This window comes from Homo sapiens, chromosome 1 (genome assembly GCF_000001405.40).
Source record: "Homo sapiens chromosome 1, GRCh38.p14 Primary Assembly".
Classification (NCBI taxonomy): Eukaryota; Metazoa; Chordata; class Mammalia; order Primates; family Hominidae; genus Homo; species Homo sapiens.
In genome coordinates, this window is record NC_000001.11 from 214,434,344 (window position 1) to 214,454,371 (window position 20,028).

Below are 20,028 nucleotides of genomic sequence, written 5' to 3' on the forward strand. Positions count from 1 at the left end.
TGTCTAAAAGTGAGAAAAGGCCCCTGGCCCAGGGCTGGCAGTGTCCTCTGGTAACCTTCAAGAGGCAAATATAAGCAAAATCAACGATGGACATGCTTTTTCAAGGACTCAAGAAGGAACAGATAAAAACTGATGAAAGCAATGAGTAAGTTAACAGAAAGTGAATCAAAAGAAAAAAAAAAGAAAAGGCATCCAATGGTAGTAGAGATATTAAATAGTAATTAGGAAGTATAAAAGTGTGAAATATTTTGTGGTTAATTTTTAATATAGAAAAAGCAAAGTGTGGTTGGAAATCAAAAGCAAGGAATCTATGAGAAGCAGATATTAAAGATATTTGAAAATTACATGAAATTGGAGTCGCCCTGGATGAAGTGTTGAGGACCCAGAGAAAAGGTGGAAGAACCGAGAGCAGAATAGGGAGTCGGTCTTTGGGCTGCACACAGGGTGGGAGAGGGACCCACGGCGAAACATGTTTAGTGGAGGATGTGGCACAGGATGCCATTCCAAAAGCACATGCCTGGACTTCTTTGCCCTGGTCAATAATCATGTGACTATGAGACTGGTTTCTTGAAAGAGGGATTCAATTTGATGATTTGTAACGCCCTTATCCTTACAAAATTCTGTTTCTTAAGTGAAAGCCACAAGAGGAGAATCTGTACAATGCCCATGTGAATTTGTATTGGGCTGCATTCAAAGCCATCCTAGGCTGCATGTGGCCCGCAGGCTGCGGGTTGCACAAACTTGATCTAGACAATTAAAAATATAGGAGTACTTCATTCCCGTTATCAAAAGTGAAATTGATTCCCCCTCACCTACTTTAATGCTCTCTAATCAATTATTTATATATTGGGCCAGGATGAAAAGAAGTAAAATGGTTCAGTCCGGTAGTGTGTCTGCTGTGTGTGTGTGTGCGTGTGTGTGTGTGTGTGTTGAGATAAAATGCAAGTATCACAGAGCAACAGGCAACAATATCCGTAATTCAACCCACCATTCTTCTTTAGATGTTCAAAGCTTTAAATGAAGTTCTAATCATATTCTAGTTATAATTATGTTATAATTATACAATGTCCTAAATTAGAAAATAATCATTTTAAACCAGAAAGGAAAAATGCCTGCTTTAGAGTATAATGGTTAAATAGTTCATGAAACCCTTTAAAAAAAAAAGTATTCAGTGAACTGGGTGTAAACAATATAGATTTTCAAATTAACAAGGAAAAAACAAACAATCCCATTAAAAAGTGGGCAAAGGACATGAATACTTTTCAGAAGAAGACATATATGTGGCCAACAAGCATAAGAAAAAATGCTCATCACCACTAATCATTACAGAAATGCAAATCAAAACCACCATGAGGTATACACCACCTTACATCAGTCAGAATGGCTATTATTAAAAAGTCAAAAAATAACTGAGAAAAGGGAATGCTTATACACTGCTGGTGGGAATGTAAATTAGTCATGGTAAATCAGCCATGGTAGAAAGCAGTTTGGCGATTTCTCAAAGAACTTAAGGCAGAATTTCCATTCGACCCAGCAATCTCATTATGGGGTATATACCCAAAGCAATATAAATCATTCCATTATAAAGACACATGCACATGTACGTTCACTGCAGCACCATTCACAATAGCAAAGACATGGAATCAACCTAAATATCCATCGGTGGTAGACTGGATAAAGAAAATATGTTACATATACACCATGGAATACTATGCAGCCACAAAAAATGACAAGATCATGTCCTCTGCAGCAACATGGATGCAGGTGGAGGTCATTATCCTAAGTGAGCTAACATAGGAACAGAAAACCAAATACCGCATGTTCTCACTTTTAAGTGGGAGCTAAACATCTAGAACACATGGGCACAAAGAAGGGAATAACAAACACCAGGGCCTACTTGAGGATGGAGGGTGAGAGGAGGGTAAGGATTGAAAAACTACTTATCAGGTGCTATGCTTATTGCCCGGGTGATGAAATAATCTGTACACTAAACTCCCGTGACACACAATTTACCTATATAACAAACCCACACGTATACCCCTGTATCTAAAATAAAGTTAAAAAAAAATACAGTTTTCTTTTACCTGCCATTTGCCAACTTGTGGTGGATAAAATATTTTGAAACCATATTTTTTCAAGTAAGTGTGAGATTTTTGGTTAAAGACAGTTAGGGCTGGGTACAGTGGCTCATGCCTGTAATCCCAGCACTTTGGGAGGCTGAGGCGGGCAGATCACCTGAGGTCAGGAGTTCAAGACCAGCTGGCCAACATGGTGAAACCCCTTCTCTAAAAAAATTAGCTGGGCATGGTGGTGGGCGCCTGTAATCCCAGCTACTGGGGAGGCTGAGGCAGGAGAATCACTTGAACCCGGGAGGCGGAGGTTGCAGTGAGCCGAGATCGCACCATTGCACTCCAGCCTGGGCGACAGAGAAAGACTCCGTCTCAAAAAAAAAAAAAAAAAAAAAAAAAAAAGGTTTGTCAGAATATTAGCTCTCAGGATAATGCTTTTCAAGTACTCTTAACAAGAGTCAGCACATCACAAAATCATGGGTGTGCTTGTATGCATGCAAATGCAACACACAAAATCTCTCAATGTATATAGTAAGGAAGTAGTCACAGATGTCTGGAAAATTAAGATAACTGCTATCTAGAACCAAGCCTCTCTGTATTTTTTTTTTTTTTTACTTAAATATAGTGTACTTCTAGTTGGTAGTTGAAATCAAGTATTTCATGAACCAGTGCCAGAAATAATATTTTTTCAAATAACTGATAATGGAAAGAAATAATGTTTTCACAACCTTGAATTTTATTTGGCTGAAATTATTTTATTTTTTTCTTAATTTACCTATTATTTCATCTTACACTTACCTAAATGCAGTAAATATCAATAAATCAGACAGTGGCAAAAGAATTACTGAAATCCATATGTAGAATTCTCAGTTTTGCAAAATTCTCACTTTAAAAATTAAAATTCAATCTGTAACTTCAAAGCCTGCAGAAACAGTGGGAAGTTGTGTTTAAGGTTTTAGGGTCCTAGAGTAGTATAATTCAGGCCAGTTTTTATTATTCTTATAGGAATAATAAATTTAATAATAAATAAAGGATGCACAAAAGGCTAAATTCTTATGCAATAAATAGTATTTAATATATCCCCTAAACCTATTTAGGAGATGTATTACTCATTATATTATGCATAATCTATTGTGCATTACAGAAGTTGAACTACCTAGAAGGCTAAAATATTCTGAAAGAGAGGAAATACAATCAAACTGTACAAAATTGCTACAGAAGAACCTTGGATTCTCCATTCTGTTCCTTCTAGGATCCCCAGGAAGACGCCCACAATTTTTCTACTAAATAAGACCACGCCATCTATTCTCTAAATTCCTCAGCCTGAACCAAATGTTTTAAGCTTTGCAACTCTTTAATTCCTTCCCAGTTCCCCAAAATCCCCCCTGAGATTCTCCAACATCCATCTACTAACAGAAAAGACCAGCTACAGCTGAAAAGACATCAGGATACAGTTGTCTTCCATTTAACCAAACTTAAATGATAAGAATCACCCATGGCAATGATCAAAAACAGATTTTGATTCAGGGAGTCAGGACTGGGGTACAATAACCTACATATTTTTTAAAATGCCATAGGCAATACTGATGCACGTAGTGTGAAGACCACACTCAAAGAACCAACAGGCTCCCAATGTCTTATTTTTATTTTTTAAATAACTGTCACTCATCAGGAGTCTATCATCTCTTTAAATAATCTTTCACTGGAATCTGTTTATCTTTTCAGACTACAGTCTCTTCAAGTTACAAGTACTGTGAGATTACCATTGGGTCAGCCTGGCCCGTCCTGTGGCAGCCAACCTGGCTTCCCTGTTCTGAACAGCTGCTCTGACCATCTGGGAAGCTGTGAGGCAAGGCCCGCTTTATCCTGTCTCCTTGCTCGGGCCTGATAACCTTAGCCTTCCTACACTCGGCACAGGACAAAGCACCAGGCCGCGTCCTCTGCAGCAGATCTGCTCCCTCATATGGGACTGGAATGAGGGTGGGGAACCTCCCTGGGAATACATGTCTATGATAATAACACAAAATGTTTGCTTAAATTATTGTTTGCAATTCCACTTTTGGGAATTGCCTGAGGGAATTAGGGACAAATTTGAAGTTATCTTCAATAATATCAAATCATTTGTTTTGAGGGAGTAATTCTGAATTTTGGAAATCGCCAGTCAGTACAAAATTTGTACTCAGTAGAGTTTCTAGTAGGGTATGGTTTACAGTGATTTGGGTTTTACTAATCATTAATAATGTACGAAGCCTCACAGTGGCATTGTAATGTCTCAACCTGACTAGGCTGCACTCCATTTCCCAGAATGTTCTTCCCCTATGTTTCTGGTTAGTGTGGGTCACAGAGAATCTTCTGCCAGGTGACTGATACCAGCACAGCTCTCTGAGGGATGCAGCAGTTTCCTGCTACCTTCTAGTATATCTTTTCATTTAAAAAAAACAAATATTATTTGAAGACCTACTATATGCTAAGCACAATGGCAAATGCTTTCTGAACTCATCCTTACAATAGCTATGCTAGCATCATCTCCTGATTCTAAACACAAGAACTTAATTTTGGGGAGTTTACAGAGCCTGACCAAGAAACAAACACCAGAGAGTGAGGTCTTCAAGTCTGTTCTCCTTCTTTTTCCTTTTTTTCCCCCTACTTCCCACATTAATGTATGTTCTCCTTTGTAGTGTTTTTTTTATTGTTTTATTTCCAGCTATTATTTTCCTTGAAGATTAAACCAAAAAATACTAGTTCTTTGCTGATTCCAACAATCATTCAAAACATACAGAGCTCTAGCAGATACATAACTTGCTTCAAATTTTCCATCAGTATCCTCATCAGTAGCTATCTTTTCACAGTTGGCCATTTTATTTCAAGGATCCAAATTACCGACCTTTTTCATGTTTTCCTTAGTTAGACCTATGGGTTTCTCACATTAGTCACTGTCATAAACATCTATCTTTTCTACCTTCTTCAAAACATTTATGCTGGTCAAAAGCATTTGCTTCCAACATTGCTTCATCTCTGTGATTTTCTACTAAAGGACCATGTGTCTAACTCGCATTTCAGTTAAACTTACGTCAAAGTTGCTGGGATTTGCTCTGAATAACGGTAACTCATTTTTATGCTGGCAGCAAACGTCAGGCGAAATGTCTACTCACTCTCCCCAGCTGCAAGCACAAGATTGACGAGCTGACCTTGAGAGTTAGGAGGCTGTAAACCGAAACATGTTGCAACATGTCCCGCTATGATTACGCCTCCTCTGCTTTTACAAAGTACACCAGAAAGCAGTATCATTATTTGAGTCACACCTGGTAACTTGACACCTGCTGACACCTTTCTACTGTTTACTTGCAATGTCTCAATTTTCCACCCTTCTAAAGGACTCAGTGTCATCTGAAAGCTTGGCACTTTCACTATGTGCCCAGGGCTGGAGATCACTGATAAAGACGTTAAATAAAACCCATTTTAGTTCCACTCTCTACATAATGCTCGCTATTTAAAGGACTCACTCAAAGAAGTGCCTGTTTCCCTCTACCCTTTGTTTCTTCTGTCTGAACTACTTCCTTCTCTTTGACAAAACTCATCCCTTCCAATTCCACAGTGTGTCTTAGCTGTTACAGCTAAGGGGAGGGGAGGGGAGGATTGGCAAAGACTTTTTGAACGTTTAAATAAATCCTATCTATGGGCTCTCCCATGTCAGCATGCTTGGTTCACCTAAAACCATTCCAGAACCACCTTAAGAGCCAGGCTTGTCACTAAACAGCTGTGTGACTATGGGCAGAGTCCCTTTATCTGTCTGTTTCTCAGTTTCTTCATCTGTAAAACAAAGCAACTGGTCTCTGTGATTTATTGATATGTGGGGTCTCATATTTAGATATAAAACTCTATCATTCTGGTCTGTCTTGATATAAGGCAAAGGGCTCTTTCTCAAATAGGCTGTGTTTGTTTAAGATTTGAATGATGTCTTTATTGGCCTATAAGACGCTTGGTACTCTTTCTATGCATGAACCTTTTATGGGTAATCAGAGATGAGACAGATATTGTGAGCAATAAAGAGAGGAAATCTGAATAATTTGAGCCATGGCTCTGCAGTAGAAAGTTGACAGGGACATATAATCTAGCCCTCCGGAGTGATCTTTACACAGAAATAAAGTTTTCAAATGAGCACTTAGGGAAGTTATACTCTCACACTCAGCTCAACCACCTACAGTCTCTTATAGGCAGCTAAAGTGTTAATACAGCTGGACACTGAATGACATAAAATCAACTGGGTCAATGAAGAGATATGGGCTGACCCAAGTACTGAGATGCACTTCAAGTTATACAGAAAGTGCAAGTATCGGCAGTCAGGACCTAAATACCTACAAGGCCAGACAGGTCACAAGAATGTGTAAATGCTGCTGACTATTAACTCCCTAGGGAGTGGAGAACTAGGCCCAGTTAGACAGCACATGCCTCTCTGCAAGGCGTCCCAATTCAGTTCTTTCAAAAATGATCCTGGTGAAACAAAACCCACCTGAAGACCAGAATCAGCCCTCATAGTACTAGTTAATAATCTCTGATCTTACTGGTAGGTCAGCCCTCTGGATTTCTTTGTTGACTTTTTATGGAACTAAACTCCCTGTTACTCTGATAAAGCCAGTGAAGAAAGGCATGAACGGATGTATTTCTCTGGCAAAGTAATATAAAAGACTCCATTTATGTGATGACCTAAATCTACTCCACTTGTTAGAGAAAAAACTTCTGTTATTTAAAAAACAAACAGTTCTTTTTCAGGGTGCCCACTTTATAGAGTTCTAGTGAAGACTGAAAAAGATAATAATCTGAGATACTTAGCATAGCATCTTGCACATAAATGTTAGCTGCTACCATGACTACTACTGTTACATTATATCCGGTGATGGAACGCAACTACATTTTTCCACAGAACCACACAGAACTATAATATCCTCAGGCTGGGGAAGTTTTGAGGTTTTGGATTCTTGTGCTTTCTAGATTCTGCTGCTGCTCAGACACTGTAAGTTTCTTTAACGTGTGGATGTAGCACATCTGTCACTTCCTTCCTCTCCACCCACTCCACTCCAACTGAATGTCCCAATGCTGATATTCAGGAAAAAAGGTAGAGCAAACAATTATAAAACATCTATTCTTTGCACCTCTTCCAACGTCAAGATTTTTTTTAAAATCCATTTTTGAAATTGACACACCATTCTCAATCCCACCCATTGTAATGATACCCCTACAATCTTGAGAATCCTTTATGGGAAGCGGATGTCTCTTAAAAATTCATAAGGCACAGCCTGCATGCTTCAACATGACAAAACACCTCTTCATATAGCTTCTGTTGTTTTTCCCCCTTCTTTTCACACCTTTGTTAAAGGTAAACACTACAATGTGGCATCATCGTATTCTACTCAAGCTTTAGAAAAAGTAGACTATTTTAACATTTTGACTCATGCTCTATTACAAATCTTTATTATTTCATGAGTTCAATTGTTTAATCTTTCTCAGTCCTGCAATGTAACACTAATAAAGAACAATTTGGAATCAATGAATGAATGAACAAATGAATGAATGTATCTTTGAAAATCAAGGAATTCACAAAGGATAAAAATCAATACCTCTGCTTAAGAACTTATTTTCAAAATAGCTCAATAGCACATTATTTTTGTTTGCTTTTGAGAAAAGTTCCAAATAGACCAAATACTAACACATTAACCATGTGATTTAAAGATGTAATAATAAAATTATCACTTCTTTGAAGTATACTAAACAGGTTAGTACCCCTTATGCAAAATGTTAGGGACGAGAAGTGTTTGGGATTTCAGATTTTGAAATATTTGCTATACTTACCCAGTAGAGCATCTCTCATCCAAAAATCAGAAATCCTGAATGCTTCAACGAGCATTTCCTTTGAGCATCATGTTGGTGCTCAAAAAGTTTTCAATTTTGGTACATTATAGATTTTGAATTTTTGAATTAGGGATGCTCAACCTATTTTTTTGGTAAACTTTGTTTTTCTAATGGCTAAAACATACGTATAAGCATATCTTGCTTTATAAAGCATCTCAATCAAACATCTCAGATGCATTAAAGAACACAAACATTACATGAAGACTCCTTTTGAAATACGAATAATGCCTCTGATTTATTTCCTTTTGAAATTCTGAGTTTCCTCTTCATTATAGGACACCTACAATAAATAATAAGTTATGCCAAGTGATATTACAAAAGAACACTGATTTATTTTACTATTTGTTTTCCCTAAAGGGAAAGAATATCAGAGAAACAGCTAGATTATGTTTACGGCTAAGTTAACTTCGGCTAAGTTAACTTCATCTTATTTGTCTATACTTCATTGTTCTAGTAGCAGTAGGTTGCCTCAATAGCTAACTACCTAACTGCATAGCTTTCTTTTTTTTTTTTTTCTCTTTGAGACGGAGTTTCACTCTTGTTGCCCAGACTGGAGTGCTATGGTGCGATCTCCGCTCACCACAACCTCTTGCTCCTGGGTTCAAGCGATTCTCCCGCCTCAGCCTCCTGAGTAGCTGGGATTACAGGTATGTGCCACCATGCCAGGCTAATTTTGTACTTTTAGTAGAGACAGGGTTTCTCCACATTGGTCAGACTGGTCTCGAACTCCCGACCTCAAGTGATCCACCCGCCTCAGCCTCCCAAAGTGCTGGGATTACAGGCGTGAACCACCGCGCCCAGCCTAACTGCATATCTTTCACACCATATCTTTTTCTTAAGAGCAAAGAAAGAAACAAGAAGCAACTTCATGTATTTGGACAACTTGTACTATGAAGTAGGCATCTACTGTATAGTCTTGATTTATAGTCTTCTTCACAGTAAAACATAAGAAAATCCTAGTTGAGGATCAAGACAAGCTAATCCAATCAGCTTTCCTAAAAGAAATCAAATTGACTTTACACCACCTCCCCAATTCCTGCAAGGATTTCCCAGTGAGTCAGATCCAGAAGCAGAAATGGTTACCAGCGCTACATTTCTATTTTCTTATTTGCAAAGACAGTGAAAATTTTAGTTTTGTTCCCTTGAGGGTTTATTAAATTTACTTTTTCTCTTTGATCACACCCATAACAGTAGATTCAAATCAGTAAATCCACCGATACTTAAGAATAAATCGCAAGATAACAACAAAACAAGCAGAGGTGAACGAACAGAGATGCATGTATGAGGAACAGGAGGCTGTCCTTGTCCTGGGAAGGGCTGGTTACTTAATTTGCAGAGTCTAGCGCAAAGTGAAAATGCAGAATCCACTGTTGAAAAACCAAAAAACTTCAGGATGGCAACAGCAGAGCACTAAACCAACTACAGGGCACTTCTGAGCATGGGGTACTGTGCAACTAACTGCACAGGTCACAGACCCATGAAGCTGGTCCTGGTCCCAGGAGACATTTGCCCTTGGGTTTCACCAAAGCAGTGGCATTGCCTTCTCCTGGAAGTAAATAGGGTCAGCAATGTAGACGTTAAAGACAAATTCAAATAAACTTCTAGTAAATCAAATACACGGAAATGAAATAAAAGCTGCTTGGAGATACAGCTCTGTGGTGGGAGTGAGAGTGGGAGGGAGGTGGGGAGTTGAGACCTATTTGTTATTACATTCCCACTAACTAGCAAAGTGTCTAACACAGAATAGGTACTTAATAAAGGTTGAAATAAAAAACAATGCAAATGACAATCAACTTATCTCATTTTGGGAAGGTAATTCTTCTTCCCTCCAAGGTTGCACTGTTTATTACAGACAGCCATCTTCTCTCATCACATTGTACATTACATTAACCACACAGAATGTTTGAGATTAGATCCCAATGTCAACTGCATCTTAAAATATCTAAAATATCTGGCAGAAATAATTCCATTCTCAATAACCAACATAAAGAGAACAATTTCCCATTCACTAGCTGGAGCTGGCCAGGAGGAGAATTTGCTATTCTCAGCAAATTATATTATCCACAGGGAATTCATGCTTAATCTTAAGACTTGAAGGGAGTCCCTGTATCCCAGCCCACGGGTAGACTTTAAATATCCAGTAAAATGACATTTCAAAATAATAAAAGAACTAAAAGAACTGGAGGAACAAAATAAAGGGTGTTGTAAAAGGAAATGGAAATACTACCATAATTAGAGCTTTTAAAACAGACACTTTAAACACTGGTTGAACACTAACTTGTTTACAACAGCACACAAGGCAGATTGCAGGAGTCTAAGGGGGAAAAGTATTGGTATTTATAAGAAAGAAAATGTGAAGAAAGCTACTGTAAGGTCACTTCCTGAAACCTAGTTTAAGCACACACATGCACACACACAGAGAGACACACACATGCACACACCAAAACACCATTTTAACCCTTATGAAGATATACAGCTTCACTTAGTCTGGCTTTCCCATCAACATGCCATGGGCCCAAATACGTAACTGGAAAAAGGGGACCCCCATCATAGTTTAAAAATGCATTAACCTAACTCCCTTGTCACTCACTTCACACGCTGAAATGCACTTACCCTCTTTCTGGTACCTAAACAGCACAGCTTTAAATGTGGGTATTTATTCTCAGTTGGTTGAAAGACAACCTGTCCACTTGGTTCTTCCCAGACAGGAACTATCTTTAACATTTAAGAATGCTCCATGCAAGCCCATACAGAGATTAAGTATTTTAAAAATCCTCCTGGTGATAACTGCTAGGCAGTTTTACCTGGCTGACTAGAATACCCAGGACTTTGGAAGAACTGGGAGATGTACAATAGATCACTGATCCTAAGAGTAGGGGATACCCATAGCTGCTGAGAAGCACCGAAAACAGACATAGCATCCACCAGATAGAGGGTACTTGGAACAGGTCCTGTGGGCCTGATGTGTCTGCCAGATGTACGACAGTGTACTAAAATCATCCTTGGCAAATGGAATGACCGTGCTGGCTACAGCAGTAGTTGCACTCTGTCAATTCTGTAGAGTGCTCACCATTAATAGGGTGGACAGCCCCACCCAAACAGGCAGGCTACTAAGATGTCCTGGAAAAGTAGGAAATGTTATCTGACCTCATTAGGACAATTAGAAGCTCCTGTGCACTGTGCAACCATAACATTCAACAGTGAGTAATGCAAAGACAAACATGTTTTGGTTAAAAAAAAAAAAACCACAAAATTAAAAATTTTAGAAACCATGCATGCACTCAGCAACTTAGAAGTTTGTAGCCTAAATTCACTCTTCAAAAATTAAGTTTTCTTTTAAAAGTTTTCTCTTTAGTATTGAAGAAATTAAAGAGGGACTTCCATGCTTGAGGAAGACTTGGAAAAACCCCAGACCTAAACTAAAAGCAGTGATCTTGGCCAGCAATTTTCTGGCTTCCCCTTGCTATTATTAAGTATCCTTCTGTTTGAGTAAGAATTTATCCACCTCTCAGAAGCCATCTTTTTTCTTTCCGTGTCCAGAAAAATGTGAAAACCATGTGTTTATAATGAGCCTGTTGCTATGCAAATCATTAAAACACATTACAAAAATCTTTCCTTTGAGTCAGGAGAACATGCTGGGGAAGATGAACTGCTCAAGAGTCCCTTTGCTGGACAGAAAAGCTGGCAAAAAGGAATCTGAGAAGCAAAGCAAAATGGAAAAAATTACAGTGGTCCCATCCCTTGAGTCATTTTAACCAACAGGGGAAAACTAACATTTTCAAAGCCCCAAGGTAATAAATCTTACAGTTTGGGGTTAACAAACTCGGTGGTTCTTAATCTCTTTAAATCCTATGGTTTCATGACTCATCCCCCATCTGTCTACCAGAGTGTGTCCTTCTTTTCACTATTTTCTTTTAACATTTCTATAACAATATCAAGGGATTTCTTCTTTTTTCCTTTTATTTGTAGCCCTGTGTGTATTTTCCTTTTAATATATTTTGTTTTCTCATTCAATTAACACCTTAAAGTAGGGCCTGAGTTATCCATTTCTTATCCAACACAATCATAGTGTCTTGGCAGGTTTCCCTCACTTATGAAGGGACTTGCCCCTCAAAAGCCATATCTAGCAGATGAGACACAGTATGTCAAATTAATGTCAAAAAAAGCAGTGCCTCCTAATTTTCTAATTTAAACCAATTTGGACTTGATAATTTTAATAAAGCCAATCACTTTATTAAACAATTTGCAATCAATGTCACTCTCAAATTTTTGTTGTGTTGTTCTGAATACACTACTGACCTAAAAATTTCCATGGGTGTGATTCTCTGGGGACAACAAATTAAATAAACAGCTTTTAAATGTATTTTCCTTTGACTCCTATGTGTCTTGATATATATATGGGTTCATATACACAGCAAAAAAAAAAGGAAAACCCAACCAGAGTATTAATCTAGACTCTTTGTCCTTGTTCAGAGAGAAGAAATGGCTGGTCATGACTAATGCTATAGAACCTGTTCTCAAACAGAAGTAGCCAAACCATTGCAAACATGTGTTGGATGAAAACAAGTTTGGTTGGCTCCAGACAAAGGCTTATTTTTTTCAGCACAGATGGCTGAATGGTTGCCTCCTCCAACGGGTTGCCCGCAAATGAAAGACAGATTTCTATTTCTAATCTATGCAAATATCTTACTCTGCAGGGCATCACAAAGACTAACTGTTTTGTGTCAGACACTGCAGATCCCAGGTGCTCTCAGAGATGCCAAAGCCCATCTCCACCTGAGATGCCTGGTAACTGGGATAACAGCGGATGACTGGAGAGTTAGTCATTAACCCGCTCCTAATGAATGTTGTTGGGGCCTTCTGTGAAACATTCCTCTGGAATCCTGCCCCACCACCACTGCTTCCCCTTGGCTGAGCTGCCTGGAAGGCAGTTTCAATATTCAGTTCGGACCTCAGATGCTGCTAAAACCTCCCAAGAAGGCTGAGATTCCCAAAGGCTCTTAAGGACTGTAGCATTTTTCACCTTGTGTTGAGCACATCTGTCCATCTCCAACACCACACCGAGAAAACTCAAGCATTTAAAAATGTTATTCTGTCCAAACCAGATCTCCTTTATTCTCTAGTCCATAAGCCTACAACCTACGGCATGTCTTGCTGAATCACACCTGATCGTTGTTGGTGGCCCTCAACCTTCCCAAATAAATGTAATTCCTTTATTCTTTTCTTCCTAACAACTTTTCTTTGATTTCTTACATTTTTTTTTTCTCATGTTCCTCCATATTCCCAGCTTAAATCTTTTACTCACTCTGACACCCCTTGGCACATTCCAGTTTTAGGGCCCCTTGGAGGCAACAAAAATTTCTGCAATGCTGCAAACATACACACATACTCACGCACAGACAAAATGTTGCATGCTAATCCAACTCCTAACTTTCAACATTCTTTGCCATAAAGAGTTGGTTAGACCTGAAATCTACATAATTTAGTTCCAGCGCTTAAATCTAAAAATATCTTTCAAAGTTTAAAATTTTTTGTTAGTTTTTCTGATCAAATGTCAGCAACACAGTTTGCTTCAAAATCCTGTGTTGGAAAACACTTCTTTCCCTCCTTATCAACCTTCATCTGAAATAAACCAGGCTAATTAAGCAAAAAGAAATTCTAAAGAAAAAAGAAAAGTCCTTCCTAAATCCCACAGTTAATAACCACCACTACCAAAACTTTTTACTCTATACCTCCCTCTTTGAAATTTAAATACCTTTTGTTTTAGTCTATGAATGCAAACATTGACAGTCAAACAATGCAGCATTAAGTTTACTTCCTTGGAAAATCTAAAATTGTAAAGAGTTTTAGAGGTTAACTGATTCATTGATTCCTGAGGCTGGGTGAGTGTCAGAAACACCAGAGGAGTACTATTCATTTTCTCTTTTTTGAGATGGAATCTCGCTCTGTCGCCCAGGCTGGAGTGCAGTGGCGCGATCTCGGCTCACTGCAAGCTCCGCCTCCCAGGTTCACGCCATTCTCCTGCCTCAGACTCCCGCGTAGCTGGGACTACAGGTGCCCCCAACCAAGCCGGGCTAATTTTTTTTTTTTTTTTTTGTATTTTTTTAGTAGAGATCGGGTTTCACCATGTTAGCCAGGATGGTCTCGATCTCCTGACCTCGTGATCCGCCCGCCTCGGTCTCCCAAAGTGCTGGGATTACAGGCGTGAGCCACCGTGTGTCAGACACTGCCCGGCCTATTCATTTTAAACAATAACATCCTCTTGATTCTCAGCTCTAGACATTACAACCAGACTTCTGGTACAGCTCTAGAATCATATTTATAAGTGCTCCAGGTAACTATGATACAGCAGGCCCTGGTCTTTTGAGAACCACTGATCTATTCCAACATCCTACCCAATATGGTGGCTCCCTCTACAGGATACCACATGGGCTACCTGGTCCACGTGACAACATTCACAGAGACCAGTGCTCTCACCCTTTTGTAAGTCTTGTTCCATTTTTAGATGGCTTAGTTACTAGAAACTGTATTCCTACATTGAGCCAAATAGTCAAAGTTCTTTGGCTCCTTGGACTTCACTTACTTAGACCCTAATTTTGTGCTCCAGAACTGACAAAGAATTCCCCCTCCTACAACAGTCTGTAAATATCTAAAGGCAGCTACTACTGTGCCCTTGTAAGACTTAATTTTTCTTTTTTTTTTTTTGAGACGGAGTCTCACTCTTTCGCCCAAGCTGGACTGCAGTGGCGCTATCCCGGCTCACTGCAAGCTCCGCCTCTTGGGTTCATGCCATTCTCCTGCCTCAGCCTCCCGAGTAGCTGGGACTACAGGCGCCCACCACCACGCCCGGCTAATTTTTTGTATTTTTAGTAGAGACGGGGTTTCACGGTGTTAGCCAGGATGGTCTCGATCTCCTGACCTCGTGATCCGCCCGCCTCGGCCTCCCAAAGTGCTGGGATTACAGGCGTGAGCCACCGCGCCCGGCCGACTTAATTTTTCTAAGCTTAAACAACCTTTTTCTTTTAACTTCATAAAGCATAACTTCTGAGTCCCTCTTTATTTCAACTGCTCTTTCTCACCAATAGGCCTTACAGGATAGGTCTGTCTAGAGTAACAATACTTCATTTTTCTTACAGACAGAACTTTTTTCAATATACACTAATTTCTAGTCCATGTTTCACCCTCATCACTCATTACCTTGCACTTAATGGCCGAGAGCCAAGAATCAGCAAGTATTTATTAACTTAATGCTGTGTTCCTAGCACCGTGTAAAGTACTCAAGGAGGATTCAAAAGCCAACGGAAATCATCACATTTTGAGGAGTTAATAATTTTTTGTACAGGAAGAACTTGGATATGTGAATCAACTTGAAAACAGGGAGCAATGGTATGCAACAGAGTGCTTTAAATGTCTATCACATGAAAAACTGAACACTAGGTTTTTTGGATCAAGCTGTAAGCTAACTCACGGCCTCTGTTTGCAATTATGCCATCTACTTACAATACCTTTTGATTTAAAAATAAAAATAAAAAAAAAAGGAAAGAACGAAAGTGAAAAAAATAAGCACTTTGGGAGGCCAAGGTAGAAGGATCACCTGAGGCCAGGAGTTCAAGACAGCCTGGGAAATACAGCGAGACTTCATCTCTACAAAATTAGAAGAAAATTTAGCCAGGCTTGGTGGCACATGCCTGTAGTCCCAGCTACTCAGGAGGCTGACGCAGGAGGATTGCGGGAGCCCAGGAGTTTGTGGCTGCAGTGAACTATGATTGTGCCACTGCACTCCAGTGTAAGTGACAGAGCAAGACTCTATCTCAAAATAAATAAATAAATAAATAAATAAATAAAAGCCAAATTAAAGAAAGCAAGCAGAGGCCGGGCGCAGTGGCTCACCCCTGTCATCCTAGCACTTTGGAAGGCCAAGGCGGGCAGATCATTTGAGGTCAGGAGTTCGAGACCAGCCTGGCCAACATGGTGAAACCCCGTCTCTACCATAAATACAAAAATTAGCCAGCCGTGGTGGCAGGCGCCTATAATCCCAGCCACTCGGGAGGCTGAGGCACGAGAATCGCTTGAACCTGGGAGGTGGAGGCTGCAGTAAGCCAAGATCGTGCCACTGCACTCCAGCCTGGGTGACAGAGCAAGACTCCGTCTCAAATTAAAAAAAAAAAAGAAAAAGAAAAAGAAAAAGCAAGCAAGCAGAATATTGCCTTAAAATACACTTAAAAATTTCAAGAGCATCCTTATATCAGAAATTTAAAATCTAAAAACTACACAAAAGTCAGGTAGAATACTCTTCCTTCTTCAAAGCATGTTCCCGCATTGCTTCCCAAGCATTCAGAATGACAAGGTCCGGGTAAAAGGCAAAAAGTAAAGGGTTTATGTGATTCCTTTTCCTACCAGAAATATCCATTTGATGAGGAGACTTCCCAGGTATTTTAATGGAAAACTCTTACCAATAAATGAACTATACCAACATCAAAAAAATGCACTTATTCCATTCACTGAATATGCTTTATGAACTTACACAAATCCCTCACTTTACAGATGAGAGGGGAAAACATCATTTCAAAGGCAGCACACGGTTTCTCCAAGCTAAAGCAGACACTGAGTAGCTGCAATACCTTGTTCTCCTCTTCTACTGATGGCTTCTTGTCTCCTCTTATTTAGTAGGGACAATCATCAAAACTCCTGCTCTCGCAACATTTTCCTCCTTAACTTTACTCCCACTTTTAGTTACCTTTCCAATCTTCAAATTCGAAGTCTGATACCACATTTTGTTTGGGGATATTTTTAGGAAAAGGGTGGACAAAACAGAATTAGGTTTTTGTTTTTGTTTTTGTTGTTTTTGTTTTTGTTTTTGAGACAGGGTCTCAGTCTGTTGCCCAGGCTGGAGTACAGTGGCATGATCACGGCTCACTGCAGCCTTGAACTTCTGGGCTCAAGTGATCTTCCAACCTCAGTGTCCCGAGGAGCTGGAACTAAAAGCACAAAACACCATGTCTAGCTAGTTTTTATATTTTTTTCTTTTTGTAGAGACAGGGTCTTGCTATGCTGCCCAGGCTGGTCTCAAACTCTTGGCCTCAAGCTCTCCTCCCACCTCAGCTTCCCAAAGTGTTGATATTACAGGTATGAGACACCACGCCTGGCCAGGTCATTAATTTTTTATTAAATTCTTGCATGCCTATTTTACCCACAGTCTCCGATGAATATTTCCACGCTGCTAGAGATGAAATTCTGCCTGGCTCAGGATCCCTACTACCTTACCAGCATTACAGAAAACTGCTGGGGTTAGCTACATGGATTCAACCAAAACTCTAAAGCTGCAAAGCAATGAGTAAACAACCCCCAACTATTTTACCCTCTCCCCCACCACACACCCGCACCCACACCCACACACCCCTAAATCTACCAGCTCATCTACTTCATTGGAAGCTTCACAGTTAGTCAACACCCTTATATGGCACACAGGGGGAAAATGCACCTACCTTGTGGCCTCTTGCTGAAGCCATGACACATTTGGCACATAGAACATGACTCCAAAGAAAAGCAAAGGCTCATTAGCGAATTTGTCCAGATGTTTCTTCAGAGGTTTCTCCAGCTCCACCCATCGTGCTTGCTGGCTCTTGCTGAGAAACCAAAGGCCAAAGTAGTGCGTCTAGATAAAAGGGTAAAATAGCATCAGTTCATGCTCACCACAAGCATCCCAAGGCCACACAAGAAACGAGACTCCAGCATGCTGCATCCCACCCTGGGTTCCCCAGCCCATATATAAGATCCAGCTTTGACATATAACTTTGGGACTAATCAAAAGAAACCACAACCACACACTACTGTAACATACATGGAGTATCCAGATGCAGTATCCCTACTCATTACTACTGTTTGTGCTTGCAGATACCAAAGCGCCCATGTGAGGTAAGGGGAGTCGCGCAGGGAAGGGATAGTGCTGACTTTTCCCCTGATATCTGAAGACTGCCTTTTCTGTGTGCCTTCTGCATGCTTCATGATCTCACATGGAGCACACTGGCAAAGACCAACACCGCTCCTGCACCTGCTGCAATGTAACTTATTACTCAATTCCTAAGACAAAACCGCCTGCCAACTGAAAGCTTCTGCACTGTAGAATATTTTCATACAGTACCAGATTTTAACGGAGAATTTATTCACTCTTTTCGTGTGCTTTAAAAAGTATCATCCTCTTCCACTTTATTATACACGAACTGCAGCAAATCTCTCCCCATATCAAGCTTTGAGAGAGGAAGGATCGCCTCCTCACAGCTGCTGCAGGAGCCCCTGGTGGCTGTTCTTGGCAGATTATGGTGGGATTTGTTAGATGAAAGTGAGATTTTCGCCCTTAGACTTGAAGCCTAAACCAGTTTAGTTTTGAACAACATGCTAAATGATTAAAACAGGTACTTTTATGCACCCAATCCCATCTTTTATATTAATTCATGCTAGGATTTCAGGATTAGCACAACAATCACCAAAAAATAGATCACTGCTTTTGAAGATTCTTTTATATCTCAATTATAGCCTAGAATGGTTTACAGCACACCTGGAAATCTGCCTTCAAAAGAATGTTTTCATTACAATGTTCAATTTCCAAAGGCATTCTTATGCTGATGTTCCCACTCCAGCTGGCTGCCCCCTCAACATTATACAGATCAATCCCTGCCACAACCCCACCAAAATCTCTCATGAAGCTATGACTCTGACTTTACTAGAAAACCAGACGTGCCCTTGCCTATATAAAGCTGCAGACCCAGATGCTTTAAAGATATTTTAAATGGATTTACTTTGAGATGGGGGTAATGATTTGATTAGCTTTCTCCCATGATGTTCCAAAGGACAAGTTCACATCAGAAATCTATGCATTTCTTGAGCAACAAAATGCCAACCAGAGCCAAGGTTATATTTCTATCAACTTAGACAAACTTACTTGGATGAATTCTGACCCTATTATTCATTTCCTAGCTCCACTGAGTCCATTAGTTGTTCCAACCTGAGTGATGACATAGAGGAAATGAAATGTGGCTGAATAGAAAGAAAACAGACTTGGAGGTCAGTCCATCTCCCATCTTTTGCACTCACTGTCTCAGTAACTTTACACAAGTCATTGAGCCTTCTAGACTCTCAGAGTTTTCTCCTCTGCAAAATGGAGATGATGGTTACAACTTTTGCCCACAGGCTCTGAGAGGTGTAAATGAGATAATGCCTGTCAATCACCTGCATGGCACATGGTAAGTAACTACATCATAAGTGGTACCTTCTATTGCTGCTGCGGCTGCACGACTACTACTCCTGTTACCACCACCACCACCACCATCGCCACCACCATCATCATCATCAGTAAATCAAAGCAGGTAAACCTCATAAATCTTTTTCATCAGCACTACTGACATCTCTGTGAACCAGAGAATCAGGAAACAGAGGTTATCTGGGAGTCAATGAGAAAAAGCAGGCAAAGGTAGAAGCTGGAACATCTACAAATAACATAAATATTTAAAAGATGTAAGGAAAAAAATCACAAAGCTATACCTCCACTAAGATTTTGAGGATCTCATGAGAGATGATATTGGGACACTGGAACATCACTCTGATGCTATCCTCTGAGATCTATGATGTAGGCTTAAGCTAACCTTAACATGAAGTCATTTGGGTATTCAATTCAAGAAACTTATCTGAAAAGGGTCCAAAGTAGCTCTGCATTATACTGAATTCCTGTATGGAACACAGGGCTGTATGAGGGTATTCCACGGTATTTTGGATGCCTAGGAGTGAGTCTCCATATAATAAATTATGTAATATATGTAATTAACATGCTATGCAGCAATTATTAAAGTTGGAAAAGAGCCCTTTTATAAGCATTAGTGGAGAAACAGAGGGCAACTTCACAATTGCTTAACAGGCTAACCATGATTTATCATCTTTCACTAAAAGTAGTTTTGACATTTGGGAGATATTTTTATGGTCCACACTTCATTCAAATTAGTAATATTCAAATTATAGAGGGCCACAGTAACTGCATAAATGTTCTACAATCGATTTTAAA

General features: G+C 39.7%; 1 protein-coding gene across 6 annotated transcripts in view, besides 4 other annotated features; it reads right to left on the reverse strand.

The window, feature by feature from the left end:
* Positions 1-20,028, reverse strand: part of PTPN14 (protein tyrosine phosphatase non-receptor type 14) — a 202,903-nt gene that overhangs the window by 85,644 nt on the left and 97,231 nt on the right. For all 6 annotated transcript variants that reach the window (NM_005401.5, XM_017001941.2, XM_024448759.2 and 3 more), the window contains one exon: positions 17,462-17,631. In NM_005401.5, coding sequence (NP_005392.2) covers positions 17,462-17,631 — 170 coding nt within the window. The remainder of the gene's footprint in view (positions 1-17,461; positions 17,632-20,028) is intronic.
* Positions 4,805-5,776: an enhancer, noted in NCBI's record as "OCT4-NANOG-H3K27ac hESC enhancer chr1:214612491-214613462 (GRCh37/hg19 assembly coordinates)". NCBI's record gives its function as "activates a minimal SCP1, AML or CMV promoter by ChIP-STARR-seq in primed H9 embryonic stem cells {active_cell/tissue: H9 hESC(primed)}" and the evidence as "EXISTENCE:reporter gene assay evidence [ECO:0000049][PMID:30033119]".
* Positions 5,091-5,430: an enhancer, noted in NCBI's record as "active region_2533". NCBI's record gives its function as "activates an Ori minimal core promoter by ATAC-STARR-seq in GM12878 lymphoblastoid cells {active_cell/tissue: GM12878}" and the evidence as "EXISTENCE:reporter gene assay evidence [ECO:0000049][PMID:35858748]".
* Positions 12,095-12,781: an enhancer, noted in NCBI's record as "OCT4-NANOG-H3K27ac hESC enhancer chr1:214619781-214620467 (GRCh37/hg19 assembly coordinates)". NCBI's record gives its function as "activates a minimal SCP1, AML or CMV promoter by ChIP-STARR-seq in naive H9 embryonic stem cells {active_cell/tissue: H9 hESC(naive)}" and the evidence as "EXISTENCE:reporter gene assay evidence [ECO:0000049][PMID:30033119]".
* Positions 15,863-16,362: an enhancer, noted in NCBI's record as "H3K27ac hESC enhancer chr1:214623549-214624048 (GRCh37/hg19 assembly coordinates)". NCBI's record gives its function as "activates a minimal SCP1, AML or CMV promoter by ChIP-STARR-seq in primed H9 embryonic stem cells {active_cell/tissue: H9 hESC(primed)}" and the evidence as "EXISTENCE:reporter gene assay evidence [ECO:0000049][PMID:30033119]".